Source organism: Homo sapiens, chromosome 4 (genome assembly GCF_000001405.40).
Source record: "Homo sapiens chromosome 4, GRCh38.p14 Primary Assembly".
Classification (NCBI taxonomy): domain Eukaryota; kingdom Metazoa; phylum Chordata; class Mammalia; order Primates; family Hominidae; genus Homo; species Homo sapiens.
Genome location: NC_000004.12, coordinates 139860017 through 139881912, shown reverse-complemented (window position 1 = coordinate 139881912; position 21896 = coordinate 139860017). Strand labels below are relative to the sequence as shown.

The 21896-nt window shown below is 41.7% G+C and overlaps 1 protein-coding gene across 2 annotated transcripts in view, besides 1 other annotated feature; it reads left to right on the top strand.

Moving 5' to 3' along the window:
- Positions 1–21896, top strand: part of MAML3 (mastermind like transcriptional coactivator 3) — a 437432-nt gene that overhangs the window by 272272 nt on the left and 143264 nt on the right. The gene's annotated exons all lie outside the window — the stretch shown is intronic.
- Positions 6008–6731: an enhancer, noted in NCBI's record as "OCT4-NANOG-H3K27ac-H3K4me1 hESC enhancer chr4:140796336-140797059 (GRCh37/hg19 assembly coordinates)". NCBI's record gives its function as "activates a minimal SCP1, AML or CMV promoter by ChIP-STARR-seq in primed H9 embryonic stem cells {active_cell/tissue: H9 hESC(primed)}" and the evidence as "EXISTENCE:reporter gene assay evidence [ECO:0000049][PMID:30033119]".

Sequence of the window (21896 nt, the reverse complement as noted above, 5' to 3'; positions counted from 1 at the left end):
CCTGGCCAATATGGTGAAACCCCGTCTCTACTAAAAATGCAAAACTTAGCCGAGCGTGGTGATGCATGCCTGTTGTCCCAGCTACTCAGAGGCTGAGGCAGGAGAATCACTTGAACCCAGGAGGCAGAGGTTGCAGTGAGCGGAGATCGCACCACTGCACTGCAGTCTGGGCAACAGAGTGAGACTCCGTTTCAATAAATAAATAAATACAATTAAGCTTTCCTGTGCTTCCTGCTTTGTCTGTTTCTCCTAAGCATATTTTTTCATATGCTTGTTTTTCTTTCTTTCATAAAAGAAGCTTTTCTCAAATATCTGTTTAAGAGAGAGGCAAAATAAAGCTAATTAGTTGCTCTGTGTGCTTAGATGGGGCTTGTAAAGTGTGGTGCTTTGTTATAGGGTGATTCGCCTAGAACCTGCCCATTTCACTGGGTCAATGTTTGTAGATTGTTTTCCCTTAAGCTAGACAGGAAAGACTTCCATCTCATGGCTGAGGGTTGTAAACTTGGATGCTGGCTTTCTGGAGCTGAATAAGGGTAGGGAGGTAAGAAATGGTGGTGATGCTGAGGGGCGTGTCTTACTAAGTTCTATGTAGACTTTCACTTAATCTCCCTGTTTTCATATGGCTCCTCAACCCACTCTGGCTAGGCCTGGGATCCAGGATTCCAGAGTCCTGTGGTTTCATCTCTGCAGAGTAATCCACCCGCCTTCTTCTTGTCTGAGGGAGGGTATCTGGTCCGATTCTTAATTATACAGGATTGCAGCCAGTTTTCCTTTTTGCACTCCCATCTACCCTGGCATTCAGAGGTGCCTCTGGTTCCTAAGTCTTCACAGCGTTGTTTAGCTTGAATCATCTTGCTTGATTTTTGGCTTCTTCTACTGCAGGATTAGATTCAGCTTTCTCTAAGCTGCTAAGTCGTTTACCACTCAGCCAGCTGATTTTCATCTCCCAAAATTTTGTTGACACCCCTCAATTCCTATTGCCATCTCCCATCTTCTTTGTTCTTAAATATTTATGTCATTTTTATTCCTGTATTGTGATTGTACTGGAGCATCGGAGGAAGCCAAGATTAATGTGGGTGTTCATTCTACCAGAGGCTCCTTCAGTGATTTTCAACACTTTTCTGTTGAATATCGAATATTGTCCAAATTGAAATTTATAATTTTACAGCAGAATTCACATTATTGTTTCTAACACTTTTGGCTCCAATAGAGTGGGTTTCACAAAACCAAAAGTGCTCTCTTAACACAAAATTTACACATGTCAAATACATGTATTGAAAAAGACAACAGTGTCAACATGATCATCATGCTATTTTGGAAGAAGATTTTGTGATTATAACTATTGAGTAGTTTTCAGAATCTTGAAATACTGACTTACTTCAAGGACTATGAAAACAGTTTAGGTTCATGACTCTGACTAAGCCAGTAGTACCTGGCCACTCAGGGGCAAGGTGGAATATGGACAGAACACTCCTCACTGACTGAATCCAGGCCTTCCCTGCTGAGGGGAAACCAGCAAGCAGAAGGGCCCCAAAATCCAGATCTTAAGTGCAGTGCCCCTGCTGATGGGTAAAATACCTCATTTCCGTGTACATCCTGGCATATTTTGGAAACTGATATTCTGTCAGAGTTTTAGAAATATGAGGCTAAGAGAAAGCAGCAGAAAAGGAAACATTTTAGGAAAGGAATGAGCTTTCTAGAAGAAAGAGGTTTTTTGTTTGTTTTTTTTTTTTCAATTTTGAGATGGAGTCTCACTCTGTCACCCAGGCTGGAGTGCAGTGGCACGATCTGGGCTCACTGCAACCTCTGTCTTCTGGGTTCAAGCAATTCTCCTGCCTCAGCCTCTTGAGTAGCTGGGACTACAGGCACAGGCCGCCACGCCCAGCCAATTTTTTGTATTTTAGTAGAGATGGGGTTTCACTGTGTTGCCCAGGCTGGTCACAAACTCCTAAGCTCAGGCAATCCACCCACCTCAGCCTCCCAAAGTGCTGGGATTACAGGCGTGAGCCACCACACCCAGCCCGAAAGAGGTTTTAATTGCACTCCTATGAAAATACTCCTTAAAGGTTTTAGGGGATGAGAATATTCTTGTTTGCTGAGAGAGCTGATAACCCATCGAACAGTGGTTCTGAAACATTTATGGGCCTAAGAATCACCTGGGGAAAGCATTCAAGATGCAGGTAATCAATCAGATTCCACTGCCAAAGGCCCAGAATCTGTAGATCTGGGATGAGGCCTGGGAATGTGCATTTTAATGAACATCCCCACCCCCCCGCCCACATCTCCCAACCACTATCACCACCACGACCATTTTCTCCCAACCACTACCACCACCACCATTTTCTTTCTCTTTTTTCTTTTCTTTTCTTTTCTTTTTTTTTTTTTTTCAGTCAGAGCCTCACTTTGTCACCCAGGCTGGAGTGCAGTGGCACAATCTTGGCTCACTGCAACCTCTGCCTCCTGGGCTCAAGCGATTCTTGAGCCTCATCCTCCTGAGTAGCTGAGATTAAAGGCATACACCATGATGCCCCACTAATTTTTGTATTTTTAGTAGACATGGGGTTTCACCATGTTGGCCAGGCTGGTCTCGAACTCCTGACCTCAAGTGACTCATCTGCCTCAGCTTCCCAGATTGCTGGAATTACAAGCGTGAGCCACTGCACCCGGCCACCACTACCATTTTCAAATGGAGAAATAGTACATAAGATAACACTGCGGGCTGGGCGCAAAACAAACAAACAAAAAGCAACATAACACTGAGACTGCAGTTCAAGCAGCCTGTGTTTATTTCATTGCTAAATATTTGTATATGTTTAAATATGGCAGTTATTGTCCTGTTGATTCTCTGAATAGGACAAAGTAGTCTATCCTCCAGTGGTCCCTTCTCCCCAGTCCCAATGTGGTGAAGAGTGGGATTTTTCCTCCAAGAGAGGGTTTGTTATTCATTTTTCTGTCTCAGGATTTAAGGGCACAGTCTTATAGTGCCAGGCTGCTTTCCTTAAGATCTATAGAAAGACAGACCGCAAAGGAATGGATACTACACACATTAAAGGCGACACAAGGCTTATGTAGGGCCTCTTTCGGGCTGTTCTCCTCAGAGCAAGACTGCTCTCAGGCACAGAGGTCAGCCACAACCCTGTGTTCCGTGTTCTGATGCTCAATCACATCAAGGATGGCAGACAAGCAACTTTCCCAGGTGCTCCTGAGCTTCAGGGAGATGTTGCCTCAGCCGGATGCCCAACTTCATTCCATTTCCAGACTCTTAGATTCCCTTCCTTTCAAGGTGCATTCTGCTACACCCTAGGCCCCTACCCAGTGCACTCACAGGTAAGAGAGTAGGCCCAGCTTTATTTTTTCCCAAGAGGAGCCTACTAGCCTAAGGGTTCGACACAGGTGTAGAAAATTGTAAAATGGCCAATCATATCCTCCCTGTGTATATTCACTCCTCAAAGTCATGATATTATGGACCAAAGCAAGATACCAAAACAGTGTAACCTAGAGTGTCCAGCAATGTGCAGTCTGGTCAGGGAGATAAGGGCGATACAAGGGAGCGAGTAGTCAGTGCTACCTTACTAAATTTTACATTCAGGATTCAGGGCAGGGAGAACAGCAAGGGTCAGTGCAGCCTGGAGAAGACAAGAGCAGCCTCCAGAGGGCAACTGAGCTTCGAGATAGACCAAGAATGAGTAGGAGTTGGCGGGATAGAGGGTGGGTAGAAAGGCATCCTGCTGGCGGCAAAGCATTATTCCTTCCGTGGCCAACTTAGATTATAGCCAGGCTGGAGGGAAGGGTTCCGGTGCGGAATAGCGAGGCAAAATTTGAATGGGAGAACATTTAGAGGACTTTCTACTATTTTGAGTGTGAGACAGTAAGAATGTCTATCTGGACACAGCAGTTAAAATTTAAGAGAACAATGGCCATAGTGGCATTTAGAGGGAAGAAGTAACAGAACTTGGTGCTTGAATAAATGACAAGATAAAAGGAAATGAATCAAATATTTATGATCATAAGATTAAATATTGGGATGGTATAATAGTTTCTGAAAGATGATCACATGTATACATGTAAATAATCAAATCTTATTTACAGTATATTTAAAAGCAATTTAAACACGTAATTTACTTTGCTATTATTTATCTTATTCTTCTGTTTTATATTTCCAGTTTTCTGAGGTACTACTTGTCCCACACTCTGCAAAAGGTGTGAAGCAAGCTCATGGCTATTTTTTAAAAAGTTTTCGCAGCATTGAGCCACAAATAGCTACTCTGTGCTTTATGGTTGGGCTTTTTGTTTTTAGGTGTTTATTTTTTAGTAAATTCATATCACTATGAAAGTGGTTGTTTTTCTTAGAGTAATAACAGACTATCATATGTTCCTTTTGCTTAATATTTTTATTATAAAGATTTACTTCATCATATCTTAGCAATTATTTGAAGAGAGTCCTTTCTAAAGATAGTCTTTTGGAGCACACTTTAAACAGTTCCAAGCTTTAAAGTATATTATGTCATCGTTCATTAACTATTCATACAACTCTGGGCTCTTCTAGAGGTTATAATACTCTTCGGGGGGTGGGGGGAAATGCTGCTTTCCTATACAAAGATACTCTATTATATTTTGGTTCCTGGGCAAGATTCTCTAGAATTCATCCTCTTTATGACAACAAATGGTTTGCAGCGGATCTAGTACATAGAGAATCAAAATATCTTTCATGTTAGTTAGATTTCCAATACATTGTCATGATTAGTTAATATGACACATGAGATTATGCAATTTACCTATATGTTTTATTTAGTCAGCAGTAAATAGTGACCCCAAATTATATCCAAACTAATAACTCCCATTTATTAATATCATGATTTCCTACAGGAGGTTTTATAAACATATCTGCATTCTCTAAATGCTCTTCTTAGATCTGAGATGTTTGGGAATTTATATGGCCTGCTTTTCTGCACTGGGCTCTGGCCAATTCATACAAAGGATGTTTTAATGGGCTTGCTAGGCCAGGAGTACTTTCAGTGCCATGTGGAAGTTAGTCAGGGGTGCAAGAAAAAAGATTGCCTTGGGTGTAGAGTGCAGTCCACTTCAGGCAACGCCTCTGAGCCGATAAACTGCAGCCCCAGCCTGCAGGCACCCCAGGTGTGATGGCAACCCCTTGTGTACCCTCTGCTGGACACTGTTGTGCCAGGCACAAACTGCACAGCCATCGGTGGCAGCCTGGGTCCACATGATCATTCCCTAAAAGCCACTGTGAGTGAGAGCTAGGTTTTAGATCAGTGCAATAAGAATGAGTTACATGTGCCACAGAGTGCCAAAGTGTGCTCTTGCTGGGGCCAGTCAGAGCCTGTACTTCAAAGCCTGCGAATAGAAGGGTGATTGAAGGCCCTGGAACAGGAGGCGATTCACATCTGAGTGTATTGCAGCCTTCCTGGTAGATAGTGTTAGTTTCAATATCACCCATTGGTAAGAGTTTCATTAGTGTGGCAGAAAAAGTCCAGAGACAAGACTTGGAAACACACTTGCCCCTTGCATCCCTCTCAAAGCAGTGACAGGTTTAGAGTTTCCAAACTCTAGAGCAGCACTGTCCAATCAAAATAGAATGCAAGCCACCAGTGCAAACTATGTGATTTTTAAATTTCTATTGGCCATGTTGCAAAAGGTAAAAAGCAGCTGGTGACATTCATCTTAATATATTTTTATTTAACCCAGTATATTTAAAATATGATTATGTTAACATGTAATCAATATAAAGATTACTAATGGCATATTTTACATACTTTTTTTTTCATACCAAGTGTTTGAAATCTGATGTGCCTGTTATGCTTATAGCACAGCCCAATTCGGACCAGCCACATTTCAAGTGTTCAACAGCCACATGTGGCTAGTGGCTACTGTGTTGAACAGCGCGAGTTAGAAAAACACCAAAAATCAGTTCTGTGATCAGAAAAGTAATAGGCAAGACCAGAGGTGATTTTTTTTTTTTTTTTTTTTTTTTTTTTGCTGTTTGTGAGTCTCTTACTCTTTACATTGCCTTTTAAAAACTATGTAATCCTACACTGGATGGAATGAATTAGTGCTTTCCAGTGCCCTCCGCCTGGCCAGGCTCTGGATAAGCCAACCCAGCCGGCTTTGTGCCCATGCTGTTAGAATTCACCTGATCTGTGTGGCTCACTGCCTTCAGAGATTTCCATGGCCATTTGTGTGTAGTGCAGCTGCTTACTGGGAAAGGAACGCCCTTATTCATGACACCCTGTAGTCAACATATAACATTTGTGAGCAGCCCTGGGGCCATATAAACATCCTGCTGTGAGGTCAGGAGCACCTGACCCCCTATTAACATGTCAATGAGAGTGGCTGGTGCGCTGGGCTTGTTTTCTAGGGTTTTGATGAGCCTCATTAATTATGTTGAGAAAGAAAGGTGTGCAGCTGGAGAAGAACCCACTTAGCTCCACGTGAACATGAATAATTGGACAGTTGGCAGAGTGTTAAATTGGCGGTCTAGTGAGAGAAACTGGTGAATAAACACAATTCCCCAAAACACTGCAAAGCAGTCACAGTTCTCTCCGTTTTTGCAGCGCTCCCACCACTTCCACCTTCTCCTGACTTGAGAACTGCCTAGGTATGACATCAGGTAGGATCATATAAGGAGCTGCCTTCGTAGGGAGGGTGGCAGAGTGTAGAGGTCGGGAGTCAGCTCTGAAGCCACAACAGATCTTCAAATCCTGACTTTACCACTTCAGAACTTGCAGGACCTTGGGCGGGTTATATAACCTGTTTGTACTTTAGGTTTTCATCTAGAAGATGGGGATGATCAGCTGGGCATGATGGCTCACGCCTGTAATCCCAGCACTTTGGGAGGCCGAGGTGGGCAGATCACGAGGTCAGGAGATTGAGACCATCCTGGCTAACATGGTGAAACCCCATCTTTACTAAAAATACAAAAAATTAGCCGGGCGTGGTGGCAGACGCCTGTAATTCCAGCTACTCGGGAGGCTGTGGCAGGAGAATGGCGTGAACCCAGGAGGAGGAGCTTGCAGTGAGCTGAGATCGCGCCACTGCACTCCAGCCTGGGCGACAGGGCAAGACTCCATCTCAAAAAAAAAAAAAAAAGGAAAGATAGGGGATGATAATCAATAGAGATATTAGGATGACTCTGTGTATTAGTTTACGTTAAGCATTTAAAATAGTATCAGACCCATAGGATGTACTGTGTTTTTAAAATTAAAAACATTAATCATATCGTGTGATTTGTACTTTTTTAATCCTCTAGGAGAGTGTAAGTTTCTTCAGTTTTCCTTTAAGCCAGTTTCATTCATTCATTCATTCATTCAACATATTTTATGTGCCTGTGGTGTCTAGGCATTGTGCATACAAAGATAGAAAGATTCTGGAAGAAATATATTATCATATATATGTGAAAATTTTATAGACAGGGACTGTAAACAAAATGGTAAAAGTGTATTACTGTTCTCTTTTAAAAGCCAACTGTTAGCAAGTTTCACTGGTGATTTTTTTAAAAAAAATCAATCTTGGCTCTGACAAGATTGTTCCTCCTGCATAATTTACCTCTATTTAAAATAAAAACTATTTATTTTTCATATTTTAAAGTACAATATTAAAATGCCATCTTTTTTGTTTATGTTAAATGATTTTAAATGAGGAAAACATCTCAAGACATAATCTAGCCACTCCCCACTCCTAACTCTAGAGGTCTGTTAGACTCTTTGAGGCCTTACAGTACCCTCATTGTTTCTGGTACCTCAGTAGATGAGAAAAATCATTTCTCTTTGTTAAAATCAGAAGCTAAAAAAGAAGGTGGGATTTAATTTACCTGAACATTTTATAACATCTGATCCATTTACATATTAAATGCAGGTAAACACATATTCCAAAATAATGAAAAGACCTTTTAATAAAACTTAAAAACTTAACTCCAAAGTAAAGAAGAGCTCTATTGGAAAGATTACCATATTAGTTATCTATTGCTGTGTAACAACTTATGCTCAAAACATAGCCACTTCAAACAACAAACATTTATTATCTTACATGGTTTTCAAGGGAATGCAGGAGCAGCTTAGCTGGGTGGTTATGGCTCAGGCTCTTCCATAAGGCTACCGTGAAGCTGTCAAGTGGGCTGCAGTCATCTGAAGGCTTGACTGGGGCTGGAGACTCTACTTCATATGTGGCTCCCTCCCATGGCTGCTGACTGGAGGCCTCAGTTCCTCACCACATGGACCTCCCCACAGGGCTGCTTAAGTTTTCTCATGACATGGCAGCTGGCTTCCCCTGAGTCAGCTTCAAGAGAGACCAAGGAGGAAGCCACAGTTCATTTCATGACATACTATCGAAATCACACACCTTCGTTTCTTCATTGTTTCATTCATTAGAAGCAAAATAATTTAAGTCCAGCCACACTCCAGGAGAGAGGGATTAGGTTCTCCCTTCTGAAGGGAGTGTCAAGAATTTGTGAACATATTTGTGGACACCATAATGACCATGAATGGCTTTGGCATTTTATAACATGCTTAAGTGGTACTGGCTCAGGAAAGCTTAGGATGGGAAGAACTGAGCTGGCAAAGGTGAGCAGCTCCATTTTTGAGGATACATAGATCAGATGTGCTGGAGTGAGAGGAGGGATGAAATCATAGGCTCCAAACATACCAGAAATTTCTTTTCTTTCACTTAGCAGTCCTGGACCTGATATCAAAGCTGTGCCACATAGCAGAGAAGCAATACAACATTCTGTGGTCAAATGTGAAGCCTTGCTTTTATTTAAAGTAGGAAACAAAATATCTGCGTGATTATTTATTTATTTATTTATTTATTTATTTTTTGAGATGGAGTCTCACTCTGTCTCCCAGGCTGGAGTGCAGTGGCACAATCTCAGCTCACTGCAACGTCTACCTTCTGGGTTCAAGCAATTCTTCCTGCCTCAGTCTCCTGAGTAGCTGGGATTACAGGCGCCCACCACCATGCCCGGCTAATTTTTTTAATATTTTTAGTATAGACGGGGTGTTGCCATGTTGGCCAGACTGGTCTCAAACTCCTGACCTTAGGTGATCTACCCACCTCAGCCTCCCAAAGTGCTGGGATTACAGGCATGAACCACTGTGCCCGGCCGTGTGATTATTTTTTTAACTCTAAACCCAACCTTGTTATTGATAGGATTTTTATTTCTGCCTTAAGAATTCTTTCCATCACCTTTTCATTTTAAGACACTTATCATTTCTATCCCTTCCTTTGTCCCCTGTGCTGTCCTTCCTTCTGAAGTTCTCACCCGGAAAGGCATTACATCTTTGATGCTGCAGTTCACTTCTGTGTGCACCCCTGAGTTCTTCCAGTACATCCTCCAGTTCCTCTGCTTTCCATTTCACAACCTGGTTACAGTTAGTCACACTGTAACTTCCTGTTACTGAGTATTTCAGGGGCCAAAGCTCTCTATGCCCTATGCTGTCCACTTAGTCATCTCTCTCCACATTTGTATTATTCACAGCAAGATGCATGCACACAAATCCTTTAAGTCCGTCAGGCTTTTCTTTCCATTTCCCATTCAAATATGAATCACCTAGCAACATTTATTGAAGACCAATTGCACATGAAGCTGTGTTCCCATTATTGTGAGCCTCACAAAGGAAGTAAAAGCCATGGTCCTTGCCATTAAGAAGTTTATCCTCTACTAAAAGCTGGATTAAAAAATTTTTTTTAAAATAATAACAGCATACAGATTCCCGTTTATATTCAATAGAGTGAAATGTTGTCCAAGTTACAATGATCAAATGCAAGGGTTATTTCTCTGTATACCTTTTAACTGAGAAAGCTAGCCATCTTTTGGATTAGGTAAATGCATGTGCCTTGATGAGAAATACTGCTACAAAAAATTAGTGCCTGCTGTTCACTTCCTAGTATTGTAAACACGTTTCACCCAATCTGGTGAAATTTCAAGGCATGTTTTTGAAACTAAAATAAATAAATAAAACATTTATTAATCCTCTGTAACAAAGATACACCCAATTAATGTAACAAGTAGTTACAACCGATAACTGAAGCATAAGCAAAAGGATAATTGTATTAGTGTCCTAGGGTTTTCTTCTTTTTAAAAAGACGTCAGCACTGTGCATTGTTTTACCTTATTTTTAATGGACTGTTGATCAGAAAGGGGAGTAGGGAAACTGGGTTGCGAAGGGTTAATAAGGAACAAAAAGTGCAACCTGAGGAAGACACAGCTCAGGGAGGAGGACCCAGGGGAGTGTGGAAGCCCCTCAAAGCTCATTAGAGAGATTCAGCTTGTGATACAAGAAGCAATGGGTAGTCATTGTAGGTTTCTGAAAAGAGGAGAGTACTATCTCGATCAAAGTGATTGGCAGGAGAGATGCTAGGAAACAGCATACCTGGAACAAAATAATTAGGACCTGACTGCGTGTGACCCTGGAAATAGGTCCAAAGAAAAAGCAAGAGATTGTGGAAGTGACTGTGGGCAGGGGTGGGGACAGGAAAGGAAGAAAGGCGTCAAATTTGACTTCCAAACCTCCATACTTAAAAAAAACTGAGGATGGCCATTGGTTCCTGGCAAAGTGAGAGCTGAATTGACCAAAAGTTGTTTACTCTAATTGGCTTAATTGTCATTTGTACATGTAATGAAAGTTATTTTTCTGTGGAGAAATAAAGGAGTAACAGTGTGAATTTGGGGCTTATCTAGGTGGTAGGTAAAGAAAGACATATGAGTCGAACCACTTCTTGAGGAATGTCATACATGAGAAAAAATGTATAGTCTAGCATCAAGTCTGGAGATAGCTAGAACTAATGACCATGAAAAAATGATATACCATGAAAAAATGATAAGCACACAAGAAATAAAATGTGTGTATTGTGTGACTGCATGTATATTTGTGTATGTACACACAAACATGCATTCCAAAAACATCTGAAAACCCACTCATCATCATGTTAGCCCTAGGTAGTTCTAACTAATGGAAACACAACTGATACTTCTTTTCCTTTCTTTCTTTTTTTGCTTATCTGAATTTCCTCATTTTTCCTGTTGAATGTATATTGCTTGTATAAGTTTCTTCATAGTGAGAAATTGTTTTAAATCTTTGGTGAAATGAAAGATATAGATACAAAAATTAGTCAAGTGTGGTCCCAGCTACTTAGGAGGCTGAGGTGGAAGGATCTCTTGAGTCCAGGAGGTCGAGGGTACAGTTAGCTGTGATTGCGCCACTGAACTCCAGCCTGGGCGACAGAGTGAGACCCTGTCCAAAAAAAGAAAGAGGTAGGAATAGAGTTTTCAAGGTCAGAATTTAGAACAGAGGGAGCCTTGAAATAAGGCTCAAGATGAGGAAACGAAGACCCTGATAGTTATGGGATTTATTGCTAGGCTTTCAAAAGAAGAGTATGCATTTTCTAATGCTTAAAAAGCAATTTTTCATTTCAAGGCTTAAAAATATTAATAAATACATCAAAAGAAGAATGGAGTTATTCTCATCTGCTAGAACTTGGATTGATCTAAAGCAGTGGTTCTCAACCTCAGATGTTTTGTTCCCCAATCACCAACTGGACATTTGGCAACATCTGGAGATAGTTTTGGTTGTCACAACTTGGGGGCCAGGGGTAGGGTGGGGTGAGGGGAACGGGGAATTGACGCTGCTACTGGCACCTAGTGGGTAAGAGAGCAGAGATGCTGCTAAATATCCTACAATGTACAGGACAGTCTCTGCACAACAAAGCATTATCTAGCCCAAAATGTCGATAGTACAGAAGCTGAGAAACTCTGATCCACAGTAAGGTACATATTCACAGTGACCATTCATGGAGCGCTTTATGTGCCAAGACCTGTACTAAGCCCTTGACATGAAACATTTAATCTTCAAACGATCTTGAAATTCAGACATGTAAAGTTAAGTAGTCTGTTTAAGGTCATATGGTCAACACTAGAACTAGGAACCAAAGCAAAGCCTATTTGAATCCAAACCTGAGCTCTTAAACCTTATGCAATTTTGCCTACATGTTGACACTCACCGAATGAAATGGGCACAAGAAAGCCATCTCAAGATCACAGCCAACATTCTGATCTCATATTTTTTTCTACTGTTGCCAAGGCAGTGGCCTGTTAGCTTCAGAACGTTTTATCTCCTAGAAGGTAATAGGTGGTAAAACAAATTGCAATTCTTTTCTATATTTCTTCCCCCTCACTCTTCCCTCCATCCCATCTTTCAGATAAAGGTTTCTTTTTTAATGAATATTACGTGTGTTTTGTTGGAGTTTGGCCGCGGGGGTGGGGTGGTATTTGGTTGGTCATGCACATAGGTGCTGGTGTATTTCTTGTCTGCATGCCTTTTGATCATGGAGAAATACTCTGCAAATGTCTGAGAATTAGTACTTTCTAGCATCATTTTGGCAAGACATTTTTATTTAGCTCTTATCCAGCTTCTTGGGTCTTTTCACCTTTATCTCTGGATAAAGAATTCTTGTCTGCAGCATCCTAAAGTTACTTCAGCCTCCTTGTCATTTTCACTGAAGGACACTGCATATTAAAAACAAAAATTTTATTGCCTTCCAAAAGCTGACTTCCTTGGGTCCTTGAGAACATAGATCCGCAGCTCGATGGATCTAATTGCTTGCTTGTCAACTGGAGTAAAGAGTAGAGTTCCCCAGTATCATGTACCTTCTGCTGCCAGCACTCAGCCTTTCTTTTCTGCAAACTAGGATTTTTAAAGAAGTTTGACTTCCATATACTAAATTGCTATGGAAGCAAAAGAATTGGAACATACCAATCAGGCTTGTCAATCTATCTTCTCTTTGCATGCTTTCCACACAAACATGGGATTGAAATAATCTGTTCTAATGCTGACATGCAGAAAGACCATAGCACAGTTCTTGAGTGCCCCACCCATTTCTGTGGCTCCCTTAAGATTATTTTAGCAATTAAACGTCAACAGCAATAAATAAAATTGAGAAAGAAATTTGGATAAACCTATGCACAGGAAAAGACTTATTTTAGAATTCTTTTCCTGTGAGCTTTTACTGTAAGGATTGTGTTTTAATACCACTGCTATCACTCGTGGAGAAGGAGAATTTTATTTGTCTCCTTTATCCTGTTTTGATTTTTAGAGAGAAATTTTACCAGTTCATTTTTTTTTCACATTCTATTTCTTTTGACACAAAGTTATAAAGACAAAATGCCACAATTTTTAAGTGAAGACAATGTTTCAAGCATTGTTCCACATACTCTGCACACATTTCCTCATTTAATCTTCACAAGGCTTGTCATAAAGGTATTATTACCTCCATTTATATATGAGAAGACCGCGGCCTAGAAACATCAAGTGAATTTTTTCTAAGAGCACGTATCTAGTAAATGGCAGAGCAGAGATTTGAACTCAGAGACCTTTGAGTTTAGGGCCCAGGCTTTGCTTAACTTCCGTGTAAAACTGCCTTTTAGGTGACATATTAAACTTGAATTTCAATGTTATGATCTTTCAAAGAGCTAACAGCACTTTCACATTTTAATTTATTTTCGTAGTATCAAGCTGAGTAGCTAAGTGGAATGAATTCATAATGTCAAATGAATCTTGAATGATCCTATGACCAAACTTCCATATATATCCAATATCAACAGTACTGTCTCTAAATTCCTGCTAAATTTGTAGGTAGTATGCCTTGCAGATTGAACAGGGAGTGTTTCTTATACAACTTGCACAGTTGATTGCACAGTCACCATTTTCCTAAATAGCTCCTAAGTGTAATCAGATGGTCTAAAACAATATGTAGGATTTTAGTTTAAAAAGTGTGGCTGTTTTACATGTATACATACACACACACTCACACCCACAGATGTGTTTCCCTGTTTCCCACAGTGCCTAACACAACCCTAGGTACAAAAGAAGTGCCTTATAAATGCTTGACAGATTGGACTTCTCTCTAGAGAAATGTGAAGGAAGAGAACTCAATTCCAGAAGAATAATTATGGTATGCTGAAGCAAAGACCCAGTTCACTGATTTTTGTTTAAGAGTCCCGGGGCAGCCAGGCCATCCCACAGGGGCTGTGAAGGCAGTGTGGGGCGGTGGCCTCAGCCAGGGGATGGACCTTCACTTACCAGCTGCAGGGTCTTCAGTAAGTTATTAGCTATCCTTGAATTTCATACATATTTCTTAACTTCAGTTTTCTCATCTGTGAAATAGTGATAATAATATTCTCAAAGTTAAATTATTATTTTCATTGTCATCATTATTATTTTAGGTAGGGCACCAGAGAAACAGAAACCATTTTATTGAAAACTTCCAAATTTGGAATCAACAGATTCTGGTTCAGATCTCACATTTGATGTTTAACAACTATGTGCCTGGGGCAAGCCTCTCCAGTTTCCTCATTGGCCAAATGAGATGATAGTGCCTACCTTGCAGGCAACATTAAATATGGTGACTGTCAGGAGCTTGGTATGTAGCAGATGCTCAACAAATGTTAACTCTGATTATCATTTTCTGCTTACCAAAGCTGGTAAATTACTTTCCTAGAACCTTAGCTTCATTTCTGTGGCACCCTCTAGGCCTATGGATTTTAACTTTTTTTTCTTTTTGAAGTAACACATCCCTTTGAGAATGCAATGAAAGCTACAGCAATATCACCAGAAAAATACACATTCCCAAAGCAAACATGGACACATTTGCAGGGGATTCAATGATTCCTGGGTTAAGATTTTCTGGTTTAGGTCCAAGAGGGTAAAAAATACATGACAATCCAGACGGAATGGTTATTGGCTTTGTAAAAGGATTTATTGTAGTATTCCCATTGCAACTTTCCCAGTATCATTAAAATCGGATTCCATTTACAAAAACTGACTTTATTTAGCACATTTCAAGAACACATTTTATTTCATTAAAGCAAGCCTCTTTTAACAAAACATATTTATCAAATGCCCATTATGTGCCTAATAAGGTGGTGGGTGCTGCGAGGAACAAAAGAAGCTTAACATGTGGTCCCTGCCCTCTGCGTTTCTTTCTAATTGGAAAGGCAAGTGAACAAGGCAGCATGAGATGTATTAGCGCTATATGCTGATATAATCAAGTACTAAATTGTGTATGCTTGTGTGGGTGGGCGCACAAGCCTCACATATCATTCTCTGACCTTGAATTGTACACAAATCATTAGCGTCAAACTGGAATTGCCGACTGCTCCCCCACCCTTCGTCTTCGCTTGGCTGACTTCCATCACAGCCTCTCCCTCTATGTCTGAAACATACTTTAGAAAAGAGGGGTGAAACAAGACAGTGAGGAAGAGAGAAGAATCAATAAAGAAAAAAATAGGTCACCTGTCTGTGGTTACTGCCGCAAATAGATTCCATCTTGGGCGGGGTCTGACCCAGGAGCCCCCAAGCTCCGTGAAAACCTCTCTGGGGGACACACAGCAGCTTATCTTCCTTGTTTACAAATTAACTGCCTTCTGTCGGTGACTGAGTCTGAAGAGGCAGAGGGATGGTGCAAAGAAGGCCTGGCTACCAGGAATAGGCACTCAGCCACACTGAAGGTCCAAACTTTGTTCTGTATTCACTGCCTAAATCCATGTGCATTTAGCACTGGAGAAGATCTGCAGGAAAATCGCTGGGTGAGGAGAGACAAGCGTGTCCCTCCCTAACATTTGTGGAGCCCAAGGCAAGAGTGCAGATGTACCACAGGCCTCATCCTTAATTGTTATACTTCAAGCTAACAAACAATTAAGTACAATATGTCCTATCAGCTGATCTTGACAAGTATACCTTCGTGGCCACTGGGAAGGCCAGTTTGATGTAGAATCCCTGCCTCCTGGGGGTTCTGCAGGTTGGGTTCCCTGGACCACCCAATTCCCTTTCCATCCCTGGCTCTGTGTTGTACCTCAGGAGCTTCCTACATTTGTGGGACATTCCTGGCCATACCTCCAAGGTCCACCTGCATGCCCCTTGGCCATTCTTTGGGCCTAGAGGTGCACACAGCTGTGTGGCCACCTTCCAGAAGACGGACCTGGGAAAACAGACTTGAAATTCTCTAAGCAGAGAATCTGGGGCTCCGGGTATCCAAAGAATGGTCTAGAGGTGGGAACACAGGCTCTTGCCTTGCTTCTGCAGACTACTTGCGGTGGTAGACATGTATGTGGTCAGAGGAGGACCCAAGCAGGCTCTCTAAGGCTGAGGCCAGCTCAGGAGCCCCTCAGTGCGCATGTCTAAGGCGTAACTGCAGAAAGGAAGAAAGACTTGGTGAGGAGATTAAGGCAGAGTCATTAAGACTGCCTAGTTCATTTTGGGGGGAAGAGGATAAGTTGGGAAGAGTTAAACAAGAGGAAAAAGAGGCTGATGAAAAGAAGGGAGAAGCCCAGAACCTGGACCACTTCTACAAAGATAGGGACTCCTAATTTATTATTGTGTTTAGTTAGAGAATGAAAAAAAAAAAAAACAAAAAAAAAACCTTTTACAGAGGTCAAAGGGCTCTGTAATTCAGGGACAAGGGATATGAAAGGCAAAAGAAGGATGGTTTTGGAGCTAAAAGCAGGGACTAGGAATGATTTCTCCCCAAGGTCACCTGGATCCATCTTATTTCTGCACCTTCCCCTCTTTCATGATGGATACTGGACCCTTGAACCATTCAAGAAGAAACATTCCACCTTATTGTATCCCCTAAAAGAAAACACAACTGAAGGTTAATTTTGATTCTCCAAGGAGAAAAAGAATAACTATTTAGACAAATAAAGTGAAGTATTTCATTGAATTTTTAGCTAGACAGAGAGAAGATAGTTGCTGTATTTGAAATTGCACTATTTGCAGAATTAAAGAGGAAAGGATATTTTAAATTTTGCCCAAATATGCTTGGTAGAACTGAAGGAAACTCTAATGATATTTCAACATTATAATTTGTCTCCATTTCACAAATTCTTTGTTTTATAAATAAAATGTTTGAGTGATTTAAGAGGGAAGAACATAACAAGTAAAGCTTTGTGGCAAAAAAAAAAAAAAAAAAAAAAAAAAAAAAGCAAGTTTGCATTACTATTTTCCTAAATGTATTTTTATCCATATTTCACTTTTTTTCTGATCAGCTTACTAGTCAGAGAATTTGAGATTCCTTGAGAGTCCTATAATTCTGCGTAACATTGTCCCTCTTGCTCCCAAACATGTTGATGGCAATTATAGGAAGTGAGTAAGTGAACATAGTTGACTTTTAGTCATCAGGAATTTATCATTCAAGATTTCTTTTTCTTTTTTTTTTTTTTTTTTTTTTTTTGAGACGGAGCCTCGCTCTGTCGCCAGGCTGGAGGGCAGTGACGCGATCTTGGCTCACTGCAACCTCCGCCTCCCAGGTTCAAGCAATTCTCCTGCCTCAGCCTCCCAAGTAGCTGGAATTACAGGTACACACCACCACACCCAGCTAATTTTTGTATTTTTAGTAGAGACAGGTTTCACCGTGTTGGCCAGGATGGTCTTGATCTCTTGACCTCGTGATCTGCCCACCTCGGCCTCCCAAAGTGCTGGGATTACAGGCGTGAGCCGCCGCACCTGGCCCATGAAAGATTTTTATTCATCACAAGTGAAGCCAACAAGTAAGTCATAGTATGAGTAATTAATTATTATACTGGAGTGTGAATTTGAAGCCTGTGCAAGGAACACACCCATCAGAAAGTTTGTGAATGAGCCACACCATGGCCCAGAGTCTGTATCTTCCTGCAGCCTCTGCTTCCCTGCCTGTCACCCACCTCAAAGTAGCTCTCATGAAATGATCATTTGTTATTATTCTTCATCACTATTTACCTTTTACAAATGTTATTAAGTTCATGTCTGAAATTGCTACAATAGTGATGTCATTGACACCTATGGTGAAAAATTATATTTTATGGCAGATATTATTTTACAAGCTTCTGTAAGTTTCTTTGGTCCTGTATTTGTCACATCATTATGGACCTGAAGATGTGCCCACTAATGAAATATTTTGTTACAATTTGTTGAGTTTTGTGGGGAAACTTGTCTGCTCTTGCAGTTTGTTCAAATTTGGCATCAAGAATGTTTCTGGATATATTCCCCTCCCATGTCAAGGGTTTTTAGTACAAAAAAAAAAAAAAAAAAAAAAAACCCATGTTCTGGTATTACCACAGAAAGTGAAGGTACAGAAATTAGGAAGTAAACACAAATATAGCACACTAATTGTAACTTGTTACATTTGTAGAGCATTTTATGTTCTGAGTGTTTGAGCAATCACCACTTTCATCTTCCTTTTGAGAGAGGAAGAAACAATGTTACTCTGCTCATTTTATAAATAAGAAAAGGCAGCTGGGCACGGTGGCTCACACCTGTAATCCCAGCACTGTGGGAGGATCACCTAAGGTCAGGAGTTCGAGACCAGCCTGACCAAAATGGAGAAACCCCGTCTCTCCCAAAAATACAAAATTTGCCAAGCATGATGTCACATGCCTGTAATCCCAGCTACTCAGGAGGCTGAGGCAGGAGAATTGCTTGAACCCTGGAGGTGCAGGTTGTCGTGAGCCAAGATCACACCATTGCACTCCAGCCTGGGCAACAAGAGCAAAACTCTGTCTCAAAAGGAAAAAAAAAAAAAAAAAAGGGCACAGGAAAAAGTGTGTAATGTGCCAGAAATCAGAAATCTCACAACAAACAAATGAACAAAGAATAAGACTTACCATATTTTTTAACACCTGAATGTTAAACATTATGCTAAGCATTTCACATATATCAACTCCCACCTTCACAGCAACCCTGTAATGAAGGTACTACTATTTTTTTTTTTTTTTTTTTTGGAGACAGAGTCTCACTCTGTCACCCAGGCTGGAGTGCAGTGGCGCAACCTTGGCTCGCTGCATCCTCCGCCTCCTGGGTTCAAGCGACTTTCCTGCCTCAGCCTCCTGAGTAGCTGGGACTACAGGTACCTGCCACCACGCCCAGCTAATTTTTGTATTTTTAGTAGAGACAGGGTTTCACCATGTTGGCCAGGGTTATCTCTATTATTATTCCCATTTTGTAGAAGAGGCAAGTGAAACTCGATGTATTTTGACAGCCTGAGAAGGGTCCCATAGCTAATAACTGGAGCCAAGGTTCAAATCCAGCCTGTACTGCTCCATATTCCGAGCTTTTCCACTCAACACTGCTACCTACATTTGGGTCTCCAGAGTCCTATTCTAGTTCTATTCTAGTCCAGTGCCCTTTCCACTTCTTATATGGGTATTCATTGACTTATTAATTCATTTGTTCATTACAGAGCACCTCCTCTTTGCCATGCATTGTGTTCTGGGTGGCAGCTACAGAGATAGTGAAGAGGAGGAGTATCCACTCTTACCCAGCACATGTCTGGGGAGACCAATGGGTCAACAGCAAGATTACAGCATAGCATGAGTGGTCTGTGACAAAAACAAAGGGCAACATGAATGGTCAGAAGAGATATTTGAGCTGAATATCAAAGGATGTGGAAGTTTGTCCAAGAAAAAGGGAATTCCGAGACAGTGAGCTGGATGGTCAAACGCAGTTTGGAGTTGGGGAGGCAGTTACTGGAGAGATAAGAAAGTCAGAATGTGAGGGGCATCTGTGGATAACTCTGTGGTTTCCAAACATGTTTGCCCACTAGAATAACCTAGGGTCTTTAAAAAAATGTCAAAATACAGGCCACATCCCTGACCAATGAACTCTTAATCTCTGGGGCTGGGACATAGGCATCAGTTTGTTTTTTTTGTTTGTTTGTTTTTGAGACAAGAGTTTTGCTTTTGTTGCCCAGGCTGGAGTGCAATGGCACGATCTCAGCTCACTGCAACCTCCGTCTCCCAGGTTCAAGCAATTCCCCTGTCTCAGCATCCCAAGTAGCTGGGATTACAGGTGCCTGCCACCATGCCCAGCTAATTTTTGTATTTTTAGTAGAGACAGGGTTTCACCATGTTACTCATGCTGGTCTCGAACTCCTGACCTCAGGTGGTCCACCCCCCTCAGCCTCCCAAAGTGCTGGGATTATAGGATGAGCCACTGCACCCAGCCGGCATTGATAATTTTCAAGGCTCCCCAGGCGATTCCAGTGTGCAGATGAGTTTGGTAACCACTGGCCAAACCAGCTCGTAAGGTCTTAATCCTGGAATGTAATCAACAGGGGCTTATAGAAAAGGAGAGACATAATCAGATTCGTTTCTGGAAAAGGTAACTAGGCCCACTGAGGGTACACCAAGCAGGGAGTATCTGGAGCCACCAGCAGGTGGGAGAAGCAGCTGTGCAAGAGCCCGACAGGAGTTGGAGAGGCTGCCCTTGAATTTCAACAGACCTCAGTTCAAAATAAAGGTCCACCTTTGCCAACTTTCCATTTCAGGCTATTAACTAAACCTCTGTGAGTTTGATTTCCTTATCTGTAATGTGGAATTTCTAATACCTATTTTGCTTGATTGTTGTAAGGCCTGTGAGACTACACACACACACACACACACACACACACACACATCGGCTGGTTAGACATTCATACATCTTAGTACCCTTACACAGAGAATAGTGATAGGATATGTTGGGGTAGACTAGGTGGAATTTCAGATGGTGAGGCAAGCTTGGAGGAGCAGAGAGAAAAATTAAGAAGCAGGGGCCAAGGATGTCTGAGATGGATAAAATCATACAGGGAGAAGAGAATGAGTTGAGGATAGAGCCTTCGGGAATGCCAACATTTAAAGACAGGGCAAGTAAAGAGAAAACAGGGAGAAAGAGAAATAAGAAAGAAGTGATCCAGGAGGTATGAAGACAGCTGGGCAGGAGTGAGATCCCGAGGTCTCAGGGTGGCTACTACAGAAAGATCAAGAGTCAAGGACTGGAAAATGATGCATGGATCGCATTGTGGTTTCAGGTCTGCCAGGGAAAAGGAAGGTCTCATCTTTTAGTATATACAGATGTATATATCTTTATGTATATACATGTATTGTATATACATATATCATATACATCTATGTATATAAAACTGCCTGAGTTTAAAAACACTGAGTACCTACAATACCTCAACACTGGGGATCTAAATGGACACTGAGAAATTTAGAAAATGAACCACAGTTAAGACTGAAATTAATCATTACCGGATCAAAAGTCATCTATAATGAAGAGTTTCAAAATGAGCAGTATCCGTCCACCACAAACAGGACAGAACAAACTCAGTGTTTTTACTGAGTACCTACAATACCTCATACTGTAGGTATATGTATACATAGGTATATGTATACATAGCTTTATCCAAAGGCTCCACTGAGTGCCCTTGCATGCGTATTGTGTGCGCACAGCCTAAGCTGGAGCCAGAGCTCAGAAGATTGATGACGTCACACCTGGCCCAGTCCCTGCCTAAGTGGGTGCAGGACGGTGGACAAAGCCCGCCTTTCCTGAGGTTTGAACAAAATCAAGGAAACGGTTGTCGTATTTGTCTTCATTTTGTGGGAAAACAAAGGTTGGCTTGACTGGGGCAAGAGAAAATATAAGAGAGGGAAGATGAAGAGCCACTGGTGTCCCAGCCTCGTGTTCAGCGAGGATGCCCTCCCGCAACTGCCTGCCTGTTTCCATGGGCTCCAGGGCGCAGGAAATGCCTCATGGAGAACTTTCTGGAAGATGGCCAAGAGAAGCCCCTCTCTCAAGGGCTTTCTGGGAACCCAGGGGACTATCTGCAGAAGAACGTTCTTTGGGGCGCGGTGGGAAGCCAAGCAGGCCTCCTCTTTTGGGCGCTGGTGAACGCAGGATCCGCATGGAAGCGACTCCGACCCCACGGCGTTTCCACGCCTCTGCGGCTTGGGAGGGAGCTAGGGGCTTCAGGAACTCAGGCTGTGGGTTTTCGAGTTGCTTTCCTGATAAATGAAAATCCTCCTGATAACATTTAGATTTTGTCTCTCCAATAGAAACGGCAGCACGTCTCGCTGAGGCCCGCGCCTGCCCCCGGGT